Here is an 18,843-nt window from a genome sequence, read left to right on the forward strand (position 1 = left end):
TGATATAATTATTATAATATTAGTAGTAGCTTGAAGTCCTCCATCACGCTAGTTCCCCTTTTCTGTCTGCTGAGTTGTCAATCCCAGAGCCCCTCTAATCCTGGCAGCTTTGGTGGTGGGGGAAGTTTCAGCAGCAAGAGGAATTTGCAGCAGTAGTTACTCCGTATGTAGAAGCTGTCCAGATGTTGAATATAAGTTGGATATTACGTATATGCTTTTCATTTTACAAATGGAGACATAAGCCCTAGAGAAACTTGTCAAAATACATGCAACAGGTCCGTGTAAACCCAGATTTTTCCGATACTGAACTGGTACTTAGGACAGTTGATTTCTTGACTGATCAACCAAATCCATCTCCATCTACTTTTTTCATTTTCCCTGATCCCTTATTGCAGAGTGATTCTATGTTAGTTTTAGTATTGCTTGATGCTGCCCACGCCTGCTCTTAGGCTCCTGTTGAATATGTGCACTTATGTGTGACCTTGTTCTTGTGTTGTGCCGATCACTACCAGTTTACATCACTTGTCTATCCTCTTTGCTTTCAAAATTGTTTGGCATATTGCCTCTCAGCATTTCTTTTCATTTTAAATTTCAAAATGGCATCTTTTATATTTTTTTCCTTGATTGCCATGACCAATGTGTATTAAACAATTGGTTTATCTCTTTTTATTGATACATAATAGATGTACATGTTTTCAGGGTACAAGTGATATTTTGATACATTCACATAATGTGTAATAACCAAATCATGATAATGCTATATCCGTCACCTTAGACATTTATCTTTTCTTTATGCTGGGAATATTTGAATTATTCTCTTCTACCTATTTTGAGATATATGGTAGATTATTATTTACTATAGTCACTGTACTGATTTATTGAACACTAGATCTTATTTCTTCTAACTGTATTTTTGTATTTTTGTTTTTTTTTTGAGACAAGGTCTCGCTGTCATCTAGGCTGGAGTGCAGTGGTGTGATCTCGGCTCATTGCAACCTCTGACTCCTGGATTCAAGCAATTCTCCTGCCTCAGCCTCCCCAGTAGCTGGGATTACAGGCACGTGCCACCATGCCTGGCTAATTTTTTGTATTTTTAGTAGAGATGGGGTTTCACCGTGTTGGCCAGGCTGACTAACTGTATTTTTGTACCCATTAATCAACCTCATTTCTTCCTCCATCCGCCTACCCTTCCTGGCTTCTAGAACACCGATTTACTCTCTCTTCATGAGATCCACTATTTTTTAACTCACTAACATTTGCAGCAACATGGATGGAATTGGAGGTCATTATGTTAAGTGAAACAATTGGTTTCACTTGCATTTTTGCAAGTTTACCAGATTAAAGTAGGCTGGCCTTATAGCAGCAATACCAGGTACTGTGGAATCCAAGTACCCACCACTTAGGTTGACAGCCTTGGGCCTTCTTTCTTTGCCTGTGTAGTGGGGGCATATGCAAGCACAAGGGCAGGGTGGGGGTGTGTAGCAGAGAAAGGGAACAGGTGAGGGTTTAAAAAGTGCATTTTCAAGAAATATTTTAAGAGAAATAAAGGAAGCTGCTTAAATTTTCATGTTGCCTAGAAGACTTTGAAATTGGGTCTAGGGTAAATTTCTTCTCTCTGTATTCAGTTCATTTTGGTTCTGATATTTTAGGACCAGAACTCATATTCCTTTTTAAAAAAGAAGCACTCTGGCTGAGCGCGGTGGCTCACGCCTGTAATCCCAGGCCTTTGAGAGGCCAAGGCGGGTACATCACCAGAGGTCTGGAGTTTGAGACCAGCCTGGCCAACAAGGCGAAACCCCGTCTCTACTAAAATACAAAAATTAGTGGGGTGTGGTAGCACGCGCCTATAGTCCCAGCTACTCGGGAAGCTGAGGCACGAGAGTTGCTTGCACCTAGGAGACGGAGGTTGCAGTGAGCCAAAATCACGCCGCTGCACTCCAGCCTGGACGACAGAGCGAGACTCTGTCTCAAAAAAATAAAATAAAAAGAAGCACTCCGTGGTGTTGCATAGAGTGTTGGTATATATTACATATATGAATGAGTTAACTGGCCCTTATCAGGAAGATGGATGGGAAGTGGGTTCTGGAAACCTTATTCTATACCACATCCTTATATATAGTCCTCAGTTATTGTCCCTCTGTGTTCTAGGGCACTGTGAGGTGAATGCTATTGTACACGTTTTATAGATGAGGAAACTAAGGCTCAGGAAATGTAAGTATCTCTCAGAAGGTCACACAGGTAATCACTGAAGGAGCTGTGCTCAAACCTAAGTCCTACAACTGGCAGAGTGTGGTTGCTCCCACCTGTAATCCCAGTGCTTTGGGAGGCTGAGGCGAGAGGATTCCTTGAGGCCAGGAGTTCACAACCAGCCTAAGCAACATAGGGAGACCTTGTCTTTAAAAAAATTAAAAAATTAGCTGGGCATGGTGTTGCATGCCTGTAGTCCCAGCTACATGGGAGGCTGAGGTGGGAGAATCGCTTGAGGCGAGGAGTTTGAGGTTACAGTGAACCATGATCTTGCCTCTGCATTCCAGCCTGGGCAACAGAGTGAGAGACCCTGTCTGTAAAGAATAAAATGAAATAAAAGTAACTACACCATTTCCCCATGTTTTCAGCCATATAAGTAACATTTGTCTCTTTTATTTTTCTTTTCTCTAATTTCAGAATATTTTATGGAACATGTAGTTATTCACTAATAAATCTAGTGGCTCAAAACTAAAAGAGATTGAGTATCTGGGATATAACTATCACTATATTCACTGGGAAAAGGTTTCACAAGGGATGTCAGGTAGGGATTTGGTGGGGAGAAGAGGCTGTTCTTTGGCTTTTCATGAAAATACAGTTGCCTGTATTTCTGTACTGAGGCCTTGTCAGTGGCTTCAGAGTCACCCCAAGGCTCCAAGTCTTAGCCTTGCATTCCTCAGAAGCAAAAAGACTTTAAGTACGCTGGAGTGGGAGCTGTGACAGTGGCTTAGATGATTGGGAATTGCCTTTTCCCATCTTAAGGCCAGGAAGCAAACAGTGTAACATTTCACAGCTGACTTTTAATTTTTAATGAATGTGTTTGGCTTCTGACTTTGTTAGCAAACAAATACATCTTAACTTGTCTTATGAGTTCTAGACTCTGGAATCTAGAGCAAAGGAAAAGTGCTTTAAGAAACATGAAATATTAACTTGGTGCCATTTTAAATCTTATATAACTTAGATCTTATTGGAGTTCCTTTATGAAAACTGTAACCTAAAATGGATATACCACATGTTAAGAAACCCCATTTACATCAGTTTAGGGTTTTCATTTTGTGTTTGACGTGACACTCTCCCACATGAAACAAGTGTGCGAATCATTTTTGTGTTTATTAGATACATGGCGGACCAACTATGTAAATCCATCTAGGAATGTGAAGGGACTAAATATCTTTTTAGAAGGTAAATCGGAGCTTGTGATAGCAATAAGGTATTGGGATAAAATTTCAGGCGGAGAGCACCACCTGGTGGTAATAAGGAGAATGTGAGCCTTCTGTTGCAGTATTTGCGATAGTAAATAAGTGATATCTTTGTCAAAAAATTACATTCTTATTTGTAATAATCATGAATTCAAATTTCTAAAACTAATTTTCTGCCACACAATTCTAGCATTCCTTCATTAAAACTGCTGTCAAAACCTTCAGGCTGGCCAGGCACAATGGCTCACACCTGTAATCCCAGCACTTCGGGAGGCCAAAGTGGGAGAATTGTTTGAGGACAGGAGTTCAAGACCAGCCTGGGCAACATAGTGAGACCTAGTCTCTACAGTAAATAAAAATATTAGCCAGGCAGGGTGGCACACGCCTATAGTCCCAGCTACTCCAGAGGCTGAGGCAGGAGGATCGCTTGAGCCCAGGAAGACGAGGCTGCAGTGAGCTATGATCGTGCCACAGCACTCCCTGTCCGGGTGACAGCGAGACTGCCTCTAAAAATAAAAATTAAAAAATTAAAAACCTGCTAGCTAACCAAATAATTGTCTGTGTCCTAAAGAACTGAAGTCTTGTGCTCGTTGTCGTTCCAAGCGTAGGCCCTGTTTATCTCTGTAGAAAATCAGTGTCTTTTCACCTCTTTATTGCATCCTCTAATTTTTATATCACACTTATTTTATGTGGTAAATTTCTGCCAAGTGGGATAATGGAGAAGGAAGTATTTCTGATTTTTTAGTAAGTTTTTGGCAGGTTTCATATAAGTCATTTTTCTTTCCTGGGTAAAAATTATGAAGAGGAGTATGATAATTTTTCAGAGTGATTATTAGGATGAGTAACACTGGCAGGGGATGGGAGATTCTGTAACAGTTTTGAATTAAAATTCATATTTGAGATTTCTTTTTTGTTGCTATAAGCATCTTTATTATTTGGCAATCTTGAAACAAGATACTTCAGTAGTTGAGTAAAGTAGGAACATCAGCCTAAGGGGAAAAGATCCTATTAAGTTAATGCGAATGCATATTTTATAGGCCTGGGGTTGGGGGGAAGATAAACACAGTTTCAATTACAGGTTGAGCCATGGACAAGCATGCCATATCTATCTTTTTTCCTGGTAGGAAAACCGAATACAGGCCACCACTAAAAAGTGGTGAATACAGGCCCATCACCACTAAAACGTCTCTTGGGAGAGGACTGTTTATGTAAGGTGCTCGGCCAAATAGAATATGACATGGCTTTGCACTCCTGGGATTTTTCTTAATATAAGTAACAGTCTTATAACATCTGCGTTTCAACACTCATATTAGCAGACACTGTAAAAAAATTGTACCATGCACAAATGCCCACTTATTATATAATTCTTTTTATATTAAATGCCCAGAATTGGCAATCCATAGAGATAAAAAGTAGATTCATAGTTGCCAGGGGCTGGGAGGAAGAGCTGGGAGAAAATGGGTAGTGCCTGCTAATGGGTTTGTGATTTCTTTTGGACTAATGAAAATGTTCTGGAATTAGATAGTAGTAATCATTGCACAACTGTGTGAATATATTAAAAACCACTGTATTGTACACTTAAATTTAAACTAAAGAAAAGCTGACACATGGAGGAATGAGCAGAGTCAATAAACAGGTGGTTATGGTAAAAATTATTTCACTTATGTTCTAGCAGAAATGTCTGATAATCTAATATTGTAGTTTAGGCCTTGAATGTTGTAATTTGTACTTTATTGCCCTGTTCCTGACTTTCACAGGGCCGCGATGGGCCTCTTGGAACATTGGTGTGTTCATCTGCATTCGATGTGCTGGAATCCACAGGAATCTGGGGGTGCACATATCCAGGGTAAAGTCAGTTAACCTCGACCAGTGGACTCAAGAACAGATTCAGGTACTTAGCCCAAGAGTGAGTCAGCTGCTTCCATATATCTATGTAAAAGGAATTCCAGATGAATTTCAGTCAAACCTGGCACAAAGGTGAAGATAAAGGAAAATTTAGTTGTTAAACACTTAACATCAGATTCTTGTACCCTAACAGAAATTTTTATTCTTTCTATTTAAGATACAAGTTATTCTACCTATATTTTACCTCCTTAAAAACAGAAATAGTCTACGGTCTAGGATTCCATGGGCCCACGAAAGTATTAAGAGGGATCTTTGGGTGATTTTCTAAGACTCTTAGCATTTGCAGGTCTAAAATTTATAGTTTCAAATATTCACTTTTGGTCGGGCACGGTGGCTCATGCCTGTAATCCCAGCACTTTGTAAGGCCGAGGTGGGTGGATCTCTTGAGTCTAGGAGTTCAAGACCAGCCTGGGCAACAGAGTGAGACACCTGTCTCTACAAAATAAAGAATTAAAAAATTAGCTGGGCCTGGTGGTACGTACCTGTAATCCCAGCAGTTTGGGAAGCTGAGGTGGGAGGATTGCTTGAGCCCAGAAGTTGAAGCTGCGGTTAGTCATGATCATGCCATTGCACTCTAGCCTGAGCAATAGAGTGAGACCCTGTCTCAAAAAAATAAATAAATAAAAATTCACTTTTTAAAAAAACCTCCAAATCATAGACTTATGGGAAAATTTTATTACTAAAATGCATACATGAATCTTTTTTTTAAGACAGAGAAAATATTTTAATGGTACATAATATTAAAATGTATCCATTTTTGTAAACTCATCATTTCTGATATTTTTAGACACATACAAATGTGGAATTAGATAACATTTAAAATTTCAAAAATTTTAAATAAATTTAAACATAATTAACCTTAAAAGTATATTAAATAGGACAATGTGTATATTAGATTTATTGTTATCATCTTTAAAAAGCTGTAACAGCTGGAATGCATACATGAATCTTGCATGCTGTTAGCTTGGTGGGCTTGGAGTGAGACTCCTAAGTTAATGAGTCTGGCTGGCCTAAGAGCTGTACCTTGATATAGCTTCATTATTTTTTATTCTCTTCCTACATTGAAACGCTTTAATTTCAATTTTTTCTTTCTTGGGAGTAAAAGGGAAGCCCCCCGCCCCCCAAATCCAGTTGCTAAAGTTGGTAATGGAAATCAGAGGTTACGCTTAACCAGAAAATGGCTTTAGAAATTGCTTTAGATTGTATTTATAGATGTATTAAAGGTCTAAAAAGGTGAGTTACATTTTTCAGTTACACTTCACTCTGTTTTATGAAGGAAATTATATGCCATGGAGATAGTCGGGAATTTGGAGATTTAAAAAGCTCTTGGGATTTATCCCTCACAAGTGTTAAGGAGTCTACTTAAAAGCCTAATGGGAAACACATTTATTGGAATTGATTAATAGTATAAACTCAGAATGATAACACTGATCATTGCCTGCCAAGTAGACATTTTAATTGGTAGCTGTGTATCTAAGAGTTTCAAATGAGATCTTGATTTATTACTGAATTGAATGTATCTTGGTACACAAATATTTCAGTAAAAGGAACCTATGGAGTGGGGGAAAGACAGCTTGGGGCAAATGATTGGGAAATCCTAGTAAGGTAGAGGGAATCATGAATTGGAAATCAGAATACACAAGTTTAAATGTTGGTTCTGACACTCTCTAGGTTGGTTCTTCAATTGTACAGTAGTGGAATTGGGTGAGAAGTTTTTCAGTTCTTTCTTGATCTGACGTTCCATGTTTCTACATTCTCTTTGGTCACAGTGCATGCAAGAGATGGGAAATGGAAAGGCAAACCGACTTTATGAAGCCTATCTTCCTGAGACCTTTCGGCGACCTCAGATAGACCCGTATCTTTTCTGGAGCAACTTAGAAGGCTGAGTGGTATTTTGATGCTTGGGGAGAGTCAGACAAGACTCCAGTCCTGTAATGTGACTGGGTCATCTCTATGTGGATTAGTCAGTGTCCTTGCTTGTCCTCTGTCCTGCAATCAAGGTGCACAAAAAGCACATGTATTTGTGAATGTCGGAATTGTCATACGGTGTCACTTGAAGAAGACTCACTCTGGAATTAAGACTGCAGTGATTTCACTGTGAATTCTTCTATAAAGTTACATCTCCACTAGTTTATTTTGGATCTCTGAAACTATTGTTTGATTAAAAAGAGTAGTTCATTGTGCTCTGTTAACCCTGGCAGTCAGCAAAATTGCCATTCATTTTTATCATCTTTTTATGTCTTGGGTGAAAGAATTAACTGTTGTTTACCAGTTTGTCAATAACCAATAACTTTCTTCCACCATCTGTTCAACAGAGCATAGCACCTAGGACACAAAACCAAATCCCTTAAAGGCAGTGCTTCTCAAAATGTAGTTTGTAGATCATCTTGTTAAGGTTCTTTTTTTTTTAATGGGTTCAGGTGGAACCTGTTAAATGCAGATTTGGGGCCTTGCAGAAGACCCACTGGTCAGAATTTGGCAGTGGGGCACAAGAGTTTATGTTTTTAAGGGGCACTTACGTGCCTTTGTTTGAGGCCTATTGACCTAAGTGCTTTAAAATAGACATTTGACTGCTTTACCTATATTCTAGAACAGCCACATACAGCCTCTAATGTCAGTTTGAAGGTTAATTCCACTTGCTGCTATCATCACGCTGAAGGGAAAGCATAGGAAGTAATGATTCCCTGCTTTAACTGTGAAAGAGGCATTTTAAGGTTTTGGTCAGAGAAATTGCATATGAAGAGGCAGGAGCCATGTGGGGAAACCAGGCAAGAGGGAAGGAGGAGAACAATGCTCCGTGGAACACAATTGATCTTTTATCTTCTTGCTGTTTGAGAGGCTTGTTGGATTCATCCTTAATAAGCTTTTTGCAGAGCTGTTGAAGGATTTATTCGAGACAAATATGAGAAGAAGAAATACATGGACCGAAGTCTGGACATCAATGCCTTTAGGGTTGGTTATACATCTTTCAAGTTTTGTCCACAATAAGTAATGTGCTTATTAAATCAGGCCAGAGAACACGTTGAAGAACTGCTACCAAAACACTCCAAAACCATCTTTTAAAAAATGCAAAAGTAGACCAGGTGTGGTGGCTCATCCCCTAATCCCATCACTTTGGGAGGCTGAGGTGGGAGGATCACTTGAACCTAGAAGTTTAAGACCAGCCTGGGCAACAAAGAAAGACCCCCATCTCTACAAAAAATTTAAAAATTAGCCAGGCATGGTGGTATACATGCCTGTAATAACCAGCTACTTGGGAGGCTGAGGTCGGAGGATTACGTGAGCCAGGGAGGTTGAGGCTGCAGTGAGCTGTGATTGCACCACTTCATTCCAGTCTAGGCAACGGAGTTTGACCCTGTCTCAATATAAATTTTTAAGCAAAAGTAAAAAGTGCCAGTTACTGAGTCAAGACCATGAGGCAGAAACAAACTTCTGCCTATCGGTGAATTCTTGCCTTAATCTGTAGTTAGAAGGTGTTAGTGATGATTCCCAGTTTTGAATTATTTCTTGGGATGGACATGTTGCATATACTAGATCAAATAAAACAGTATATGTGTATATGTACTACAGCTATATCTATCTACATAGATATATACACACATATATACTTTTTTCCTGTAAATGAAATCAACAAAAGTAGGTGTAATTAAATCACCAGAGTTTCCTTCAGTTTGACCAATGTATATTTCCAGCATTACCTGCTGATAACCAGTGTGTTGGACTGATTGCCAATGGGACCCTTGTTTCTGAGAAGGGTTTCAGAGGGAGACTGGCTACCAGTTGCCAAGAACACATTCCATCCTAGGCATGTTTAGAATCTGCAATACAGTATATGATAACTAGGACAAATATAACACACAGGGGGACAGACAGCATGATTTCTGAAAGAGGAAAATATGCCTAACTAATGACAGCTAATGGAGAACCAATAGATATGACTATTTATACCTTTAAATAACCTTTGACAAGATTCTACAGAAAATTCTCTTAGGAATAATTGGCTATTTATCTAGTCACAGAAGTATTGAGAGTAAGGGATTCTCCACTTCCAGCGCAGGTCCTACCTATCTATCATCTATTCTAGTTATGTAATAATGATATAATAGCCAGTGAAATCACTGTTTGCACTGAGCTCCAAGCCCTTCTGGGTAATTAAAAGTTAAGCTAATTGGAATCCACTTCAGGCTGATCTTATGAAGCTGTGTGAAAGGGGCATTAACTGGTAGGTGAATTTCAACACAGGCAAGTAAGTGTAATACATATAGTTAGGTAAAAATGATTCCTTCTCAACTGTGTATGAAGGACTCTTACCTTGCAGTTATCCAGAAAAGGGACTTGTCAATATCATATCTGTGCCAAGAAAGAACCCAGTGTGCAGCTACAGCTTGCATGGCATCATCAAAAACAGTTTAGAACCCAAGCATACACATTTCGTTTTATTTGTAGAAAACTGTGGTCTGTCTGCCCAGCTCTGTTCATTGTGCCTAAAGATATGAACTCAGATGAGGTCAGAAAAGGGTATCTGAGATAATTCAGATGACGAAGGAGTAGAGTTGCTATTTGTACACAGCTATTGTGGAAACAGCAGCTCTGCCCTCAGGGTATTCATGATTTCATTGCTGGTATACTGTACCCATGAAAGCAAGCCCGGTTACCGGATGTTTCTCTTAGGAAGGAAATAACCTCCCATTTACCAAAAAGCTATTTCAGAATTTGTTATTTAATGTACTTAGATTTTTTTCATATTTTGTGAAGATTTTTATGCCAATAATTAGTATTTGCTAAGTGAAGACGTTTAATATCAAATGAAAAGAAACTGGCTTTGTTAAAAACTATTCTTTTTATAATGGACAGATAAAACATTTTTAACTTAAATGAAATGTCGTGTTAAAGACATACACTTTGTATGAGAAAAACAGCTGCATGTATTGATTATAAAATTATTTTAGAGAAAATGAAAATTAAAGTGAAATATCCATACATACTCTCACTATCTTTGCTAATAATTATCTTCTTGGTGTGTTCCCCTTTTTTTCTAAATAGTTTCTTTTTGGAGGCATAATTATAATACAGTTATGTAGACTTCTCGTGCCTTCATTCCACTTAACATATATTTCTGTGTTGCTTATATAGTGTTTATAATTTTTAATTGTTGCATCATCTTTCAGTGAGTAGCTAAATCACTGAAAGTAATAATTTATTTACCATTTCCCTTCTGTGGCATAAATGTTATTTAATTTTTTTTAGCATAAATAATTCTGGGGTGAACTTGGTGCATTTAACCTTTTTCATATTTTGGACTATTTTCGTAAGATACATTACAAGATATGGTATCATCTAGGTCAAAGGATTTCAACATTTGTCTCTTCCTAGTTTTGCCAATATACTTTCCAGAATTTGTACCATTTTACTCTCTCTTCTCAGCATTGTATAAGAGTACTGGTTTCACTTCATCCCTCCCACCATTATAGAAAGATCTTTCTCCCTGCATAAAGTGCATTTTAAATTGCATTTTTTATCACTGGCAAGACCAAACATGTTTTTCATATGTATGCTATACTCTGTATTCTTAAGGTTACTTTGTGGTTTTGTTTTACATTTAGATGTTTATTTGATTTTAAAACTTAATTTTTGTTCTTCTAATCTGTAAACTTGAAATTAAGGTTTATTTTCTGACTGTTAAAAAAATGAATATTGAGAGGACCTATGATTGAATTTATGATATCACAAAGGACATAAGCTGAGTAAGATGAACTTATTCACTAGTATACTGATATGAGGGGAGACCTCTCAAAGCATGGGCAAATTAAATTTGGGGCACAGGTGGGCAGCATACTGGTAAAATGTTTTAGCGTCTGTACATAGCCTCGACTGCAAATGTCAACAGTCATGAGTGGGTTAGGAGGGCGGGCGCCTAAGGTGTTTGGAAGACGCCTCGTACAGCATTGAGGCCAATGTGGAAGAGGTCAACTCTCATGCTCCACACCAAGACACCGCCCCCCAAGCTTGTCAGACACTTACGTCAGAATCAATAGGGATTGGAGGTGTCCTTTTCGGACACTTGGAATTATGATTTATCCAACTATTAGTCACCTTGGGCCCTGTGTTCTTTGTCTTGTTAAATCATTATAGAAAGAAAAAGATGACAAGTGGAAAAGAGGGAGCGAACCAGTTCCAGAAAAAAAATTGGAACCTGTTGTTTTTGAGAAGGTGAAAATGGTAAGTTGGGAAGTATTTGCACTGTATGGACAGCCTCAGGTATGTGTATATTTGTGAAAGGGAAAGTAGGAGGTCTCGTGGTGAGTACCATTGCACCATCACAGCTGGGGCTAAAGGGTTCTGCATCTGGATTGGACTGCCTGCTATCATTTCTGCTCTCTCGTTACCAGTTGCTGCCTAAATCTGCTCTGTAAGGGCTTCGCTTTGGGGCCAGATGAGAACTCAGGAAATGCATCTGTTCCATCTAAGCAAGAGGCACATTCCAAGCCAGAATGCCAAGGCTGAGGGACACCATCTGAGCAGATGCTATTTCCACATTAGTCCTTCTCTTGTTAGACCTTCTGTATCCCATTTTCTGATTTCAATGAAGAACAGTCCAGAAGTGAGGCCATATTAGTCCATTTTAAGTGATCCCTTCTTATGTTCTTGCTTTGTCATGTTGAAACAGACACCCTTCTTTTTCCACAGGACATATTGTGGCTGTAGTAGTAGAATCTCTAACATAAAAACTTGGAATCTTGGGAGAGAGGACTTTACTTACTATTGCTTAAGGAAGAGTCTTTTATCATCGTTCTGAATCACATTGTCTGTGGACACAATCACTAGTGATACTGGCAGAGTGAATTAGGTAATCTTTAAACCAACCTCCCTTTTGGTGTTAAAGTAAAAGGTTTTCTAACCACTGGGAGATTTGTTGGCTCTTGGCTCTTGTACCATCAGATACCTACCTTTATTCTTGGCTTTTCCTGGGACCAAAAACTGCTGCTTCTGTTGGATCCCCTGTTCTGTGGTTGTCTTGGTTTCAGAAAGATCTGTCTCTTTAGGACACCAGACAATCACAGGCGATATCTTTGTTTTTCATTTTAGGTTTGGTTTATGCACTTCTGCCTCCTGACTTGATTCTTTCACCTAATACTTCCTGAGTTTTGTTTCTTTGGTAACTCTCTTTGAATAACAGCAGCCCTACCCACAAGAACACCGTGGCTTTACAGTGGAGATGGGAAAAGAGTTCAAAACCACCTGCTTATTTCTTGCTATAACATATTTTCACCTTAGCCACAGAAAAAAGAAGACCCACAGCTACCTCGGAAAAGCTCCCCGAAATCCACAGCGCCTGTCATGGATTTGTTGGGCCTTGGTAAGAGTTGGACTTTTCAGCTTCCATGTTCTTACAAATTTTGATAAATTCTCAGTGACCCTGGAAGATAGGTAGAGATGGGGTTCTCCAGTTTTGTCTTCATTGCCAAGACTGTTCTCTCACATTCTTCCTGATCTGTTTTACATCTGAGCAGTTGCTCTAAGGAAGTGTTTACTGTGACACTTTTCAGAGCGACAGTGTGGTGTAGTGGTTAAGAGCATGGCCTTTGGAGCCAGTGTCGCTCTGTGTTACTTACTGTCTGTGTGACCATGGGTAGTTTACTTAACCTCTGAATGTTGCTTTCATAATCCGTGCAGTGAGAATGAGTCTCTACTTCAAAGGTGTTGTTGGAAGGATTAAATGAGATAATGCCTCTAAAGCTCTTAGCCCCATGCCTGGCACATACTGAGCCCTCCATAAATGTTAGCAGTTTTGCTAAACAGCACCTTTGAGCCTCATGTCAATTCCCTGTACTCCACTCCCTGCCCCCATTCCTTTCATTTTTCAGATGCAACCTGTTTCTGAGATGGCCTGTGGTCATTTTTCTCCAAACCTTTGAAATCCTGAACTAGTGATTCTGCCCTTTCAGAAAGAAAGCCTGTTGTCTGCCTTTCACAGCACTGATGGTTGCACTTTGTTTCCATCCGCTTCTGCTGATTGAGGTTATTGGCTACTTAGGCTTCTAATTTCTGTACCTTTCCTTGCTCTCTGAAAATGAACCCTCCTCCATACCTTGCCCTTCAAATAGCCAGAAGGGAGCCAGCCAGCCCCCCACTGTGGTGCTGAAATACCCTTCAGGCCTGGGCGTCTGCTGCCCTGTGCCTGATAGCTGGGCTACAGGCTTCCCCAGAGCACTCTGGGAATGTGGGGTGAAGCCTCTTTTGAGAAGCCCCGTCCATGCTAGATGGTTCCAGAAGTCTAGATTTCTAGGTCCATGAGCTTATGGGCCACCTTTGCTTTTTGTCTAGAATAGAAGGAAGGCATGGGCTTAATAAGCAGTGCTGCATCTTAACTTCGATCTCTCTTTCTAGATGCTCCTGTGGCCTGCTCCATTGCAAATAGTAAGACCAGCAATACCCTAGAGAAGGATTTAGATCTGTTGGCCTCTGTTCCATCCCCTTCTTCTTCCGGTTCCAGAAAGGTGAGTCTTGTGGGCTCCTCAGGATTAAAGAACATTCTGAAATGGGTGATTTTGATATCTTAATCATGGAACCACGTCATGCTTCCTTGGTGGAGTTGGACTTTGGTTTTCTTGATTCTTCATTCTTCCCTTAACATTGTGTCATTTCTGTCACAGTCTAAGATTGCTGTTCATGCCTTTTTTTCTCCTGCTCAAAAAGGGTGGGCCATTTGAGTTGCTTCTCTGGAAAGTGTGTGATACTGTGAAGGCTGATACTTGAGGCTAGCTCCTCGGCCTGAGTTACTGCCAGAAAATTGTAGGTAGGAAAGACTTGAAACCTTTAATGGCTACCATTCGTGAAACGCCTGCTATGTCTCAGGCACAGTGTGAGGTGGTTTTTGTATATCATTTTGTATATTTCATTAATAATTTCACTCCTTCACCACAAACCTGCAAAGTGGAAATTTTACAGATGTGGAGACATTAGTTTGTAAAAGTTATGTGACTAGCCTGTGGTTATACTAGTAAATGGCTACACTGGGGTCTAAACTCAGTTCCCTCTGCTGCATCATTTGTGGGTTGTTTTGTTTGTTTGTTCCTACCAAATCACATGTTTTGGTGAAAGGAAAGAATTGTAACAGAGCTTAATTATCAGGTGTGTTCAGATAGTTGAATGGTAAAAATGTTAGGAAGCTATTAACTTGAGCCATGAATTCTTATTGCAGATGTTAGGAGCAGCAGAGAGGGAAGGGAGACCCTTAAAGAGACCCCCATGAGAACCATTTCAATTCTCCCCCCGCCCTCTTTGCCCTAAGGTTGTAGGTTCCATGCCAACTGCAGGGAGTGCCGGCTCTGTTCCTGAAAATCTGAACCTGTTTCCGGAGCCAGGGAGCAAATCAGAAGAAATAGGCAAGAAACAGCTCTCTAAAGACTCCATTCTTTCACTGTATGGATCCCAGACGCCTCAAATGCCTACTCAAGGTAGATTTCATGGGTGTCATGGCCATGTGCCAGGTAGAGACATGAGGGCTTCCATGCAGGAATTATTTATTGTGACAGAGGACAGTTGCTTTGGGGGCCAGGATGTCATACACCAAACAAACCTGAACATGACCAACGTATCAGCAGATGGAAATTAATGTAACTCAGAGTCATACTTCTGTGGAGTCTGGGGTCACAATTCGGTGAAGTCTAGCTCAAGGTCTGGATCTGGACCCTAAAGGGAAAATGGCTCGGTCAGCAGCCCATTGGTAAGCTATAGCAGGCCTCGTAGGGACTCTAACTACTTTGCTGTGTAAAGAGCATTGTGAGTAGAGTAATCCTGAGAAATTCCAGCTGGAAAGGGTTAGCCAGGGAGAGTTCGGGCTGACTTTATGTTTTTCCCTCTTTAACCAACCTGTATGTGTGTTTTCTTGGCAGCAATGTTCATGGCTCCCGCTCAGATGGCATATCCCACAGCCTACCCCAGCTTCCCCGGGGTTACACCTCCTAACAGCATAATGGGGAGCATGATGCCTCCACCAGTAGGCATGGTTGCTCAGCCAGGAGCTTCTGGGATGGTTGCCCCCATGGCCATGCCTGCAGGCTATATGGGTGGCATGCAGGCATCAATGATGGGTGTGCCGAATGGAATGATGACCACCCAGCAGGCTGGCTACATGGCAGGCATGGCAGCTATGCCCCAGACTGTGTATGGGGTCCAGCCAGCTCAGCAGCTGCAATGGAACCTTACTCAGGTAAGCTACCCCATTTTACTTGCAGCAAGAGTTTTGAGCCTTCCTCAAGTTTTTCTCGGTTTGTACCTCTCCACTATCCTTTGAATCCTTTCCATGTAGATGAGATAATGTAAGAGACATTGTTAGGTTTGCTTTTTTTTTTTTTTTTTTTCCTAGAAGGTCTGTCTAAAGTCAGACTTTCTGAGGAGTTCTGGGCTCCTGTAGAATAAGCCCAACTGCCTAAATCTGAATCTCTCCACACATTCTCAAAAGCAAAAACAAACACACAAAGAAACCCTGTACAAACAATGAATGCAGATATTCTCACAACAATCTCATTTGGTAGACAGAATACTGCAAGGTTCAAATGGCATGGCAATGGGCATATAAACACCAAATCCAGCGGAGCCAGCATCACAGAGGAGACTGTAAAAAGAGAAGATGGAGCAGGGGCCTAGCAATAATACCACAGATAAAGTAACCCCCCAGAAGGAGAAGGACCTACCCTCATCAAAGACATACTGAGAACAGGTCTGAGATGTGGTAGATTAGAACTCTGTTTACTTGGAGGATCAAAAATAAGAGACTTCAGATATATAGGAGTATAGGTAGTAACCTTGGGAAAGCATTGCTTCTCGGGGAGATGGGCATGGCCTAAAAGGAGGAGGTACCCTTTAGAGGACTGGTGGTGAAGGAAAGAAAGACACGAGAAATGGGAATGAGAATCACAAAATCAAATATACACCTTCTTCCCTCTTCCAAAATAACCACTTCACTAATAAAAGATGGTGCTCTTAATCTAAGAAATTTAGTAAGCCTCCCCAAACCTTCACACCTATTATTGCTGATTGAGAAAAAATAAGACCTTACAAAAATGAACCAAACATGGAAGCTGACATTTGTACACAACTACTACAGGAAGAAAATAGAAAATGAAAATCAAAACATTTCACGTAATGAATATTCTCCCTCAAAAAACAGTCATGAAGCAGAAGAAAATTGTTACACAATCTACCAATCTGAATTAAATGTCCTTAAACATTTGCAGATAAGACAAAACACCTTAAATCAGAAATTCAAAAACTTAAAGCCAAAATGGATAAAAAACTGCATGCTGTGAAATGAAAGTTTACTAAACTCAGAAAAGAAATTGAAGAAAAAGCCAAAATTTTCGTATAAAGACTCAATTACAAGTTAGCTAAAGAACAATAGATTGAGCTGAAAATATATTCGGCATTGAGGAAAGGCATGAAACAGCTAAGAGAATGAAAACTAAATATAGAAAGTAGTAAAAAGAATTAGATGGAAATTAATATGGAAGTTAGGCAAAGAAAACTTACATATATTTGGAGATGCCCAAAGAAATAAAGACAAAATAAATAAAATATGGGACAGTATTAATGTGTTTAACACCAGAAAACATTCTAGAAATAAAAGACTTGGATATAATATGGAAAGAGCCCACTGTGTGTCTGGGAAAATTGACCCAGAACAGTCAACTTTAAAACATATCCCAGCAAATCTACAGACTTTAAAGAACATTCAAAATGTTTAGGGGTCCAACCTTTTCCATACCTCCTACCCACAAAAATCTGTTACTTAGAACAAACAAAAAATACCCAGGTTGACATCAGACTTCCTAGCAGCAAAATACAAAAAGAATAACAAGGAGAGTAGTATTTTAAAGACACTCAAGTGTATGCAAGACACAACAAGTATTTTACAACCAAGCCAGCCAAGCTATCCTTCAGGTATCAAGGCTGTAAAAAATAAATATGCAAGAACTCAGAGAATATCACACTTACAAGACTTTCCTGGGGAATCTAACAGAAGATAAGCTTCATCCACCTAAGAGATGACTGGGGTCATTTTCATTTTTGGCAAAAGAACTGATGGTGAGAATTGAATGTTTAATTGAGAATCTAAGACTAAAACAAAGGTGGTGACAAGCGTTGCAGAATATACATTATATTCTGACAAACAAATACAACTGAAAATGAAGGAGGAGGGAGAAAAGTTGAATAATAAATATTGTATGGGAAAGAAGTAGAAATCGAAGGATGCAATAAGCTGACAAACCAAATCACGGAAGCTTGAATAAGGAAAAAGGAGACCAAGGACATTGCTAAAAAGTATTACTATGAAGGTAATCACTAGAACAAACACGTGAAATGTTCTGAATACCAAGATAATTTTCTTCCTTTCTTTTTTTTTTTTTTTTTTGAGACAAAGTCTCACTCTGTCACCCAGGCTGGAATGCAGTGGCACAATCTCGGCTCACTGCAACCTCCGCCTCCTGGGTTCAAGTGATTCTTCTGCGTCAGCCTCCCGAGTAGCTGGGATTACAGGCACCCGCCACCACACCCGGTTAATTTTTTTTGTATTTTTTAGTAGAGACGGGGTTTCACCATGTTGGCCAGGCTAGTCTCAAACTCCTGACCTCAGGTGATCCACCCACCTTGGCCTCCCAAAGTGCTGGGATTACAGGCATGAGCCACTGCGCCCAGCTGAGAATTTTTAAAAACAGACTACAAAGTGCAGCAAATACAATAAACACAGTAAAAATCTAATATGATGGAGTTGAGACCAAACATACCAGTCATACCAGTAGGCAACTCTTCTATCAAAAGAAAATGATGTTCAAATTGGCTAACAAAGCAACACTAGTTTTGCACTAGGTACAAAGAAATACAAAGTGATTTAATGTGAAAACCAAGAGACAGGCAAAGGAACCCCAGAGAGGTGGTATGGTGCATGTGTACTGCACATGTGCATGTATAGCTATCTTTATCAGGGTTATACTTATTTATAAGAAGTACTTTTATGTTTTTGTTTCTCTGTGGTCCAGAATAATTTATGTAGCTCTGGTCTTTGAAGGTTTTGTGGAATTCCCATGTGAAGTTTGTGGGCACTATTGCTTTTTTTGTAGCAAATCTTTGATACTTTTCTCTGTTTCTTCTATGGAAGTCAATTTTGGAAAACTGTATTTACCTAGATTTTCCATTTCGCCAAGGTTTTCAAATTTATCAAAAGTTATGCCTAGCAGTCTCATTAATTTTTTTCAAAGAACCAGGATTTCGATTTATTGGTGCTACATTTTTCCGTTTTCTACCTCAATTTCCGTAGGCTTTCTATGGGTTTACTTTGTTATTTTCTAGCTTTCATAGTGGAGATTTTAATTCACTTATTTTCATTGTTTCGTTTTTATTTATATAAGTAATGGAATGCTATAAGTCTGATGGGAATATGTCAGAGGGACGCATGAGCCAACTTCCAGTGGCTCTGACTGGCCAAATGTGAGAC

General features: G+C 39.6%; 1 protein-coding gene across 14 annotated transcripts in view; it reads left to right on the forward strand.

Annotated features, from left to right (window-relative positions):
• The window catches only part of SMAP2 (small ArfGAP2), a 78,493-nt gene that overhangs the window by 56,702 nt on the left and 2,948 nt on the right, over positions 1-18,843 (forward strand). For 8 of the 14 annotated variants that reach the window (XM_047428009.1, XM_047428017.1, NM_022733.3 and 5 more), the window contains 8 exons: positions 5,201-5,334; positions 7,118-7,203; positions 8,222-8,300; positions 11,481-11,567; positions 12,624-12,705; positions 13,737-13,846; positions 14,641-14,806; positions 15,245-15,561. In XM_047428009.1, coding sequence (XP_047283965.1) covers positions 5,201-5,334; positions 7,118-7,203; positions 8,222-8,300; positions 11,481-11,567; positions 12,624-12,705; positions 13,737-13,846; positions 14,641-14,806; positions 15,245-15,561 — 1,061 coding nt within the window. Of the gene's footprint in view, positions 1-2,148; positions 2,212-5,200; positions 5,335-7,117; positions 7,204-8,221; positions 8,301-11,480; positions 11,568-12,623; positions 12,706-13,736; positions 13,847-14,640; positions 14,807-15,244; positions 15,562-18,843 lie in introns of all 14 variants that reach the window. The other 6 variants (XM_047428011.1, XM_047428014.1, XM_011541960.3 and 3 more) reach the window with 1 other exon arrangement.

Source organism: Homo sapiens, chromosome 1 (genome assembly GCF_000001405.40).
Source record: "Homo sapiens chromosome 1, GRCh38.p14 Primary Assembly".
Lineage (NCBI taxonomy): Eukaryota > Metazoa > Chordata > Mammalia > Primates > Hominidae > Homo > Homo sapiens.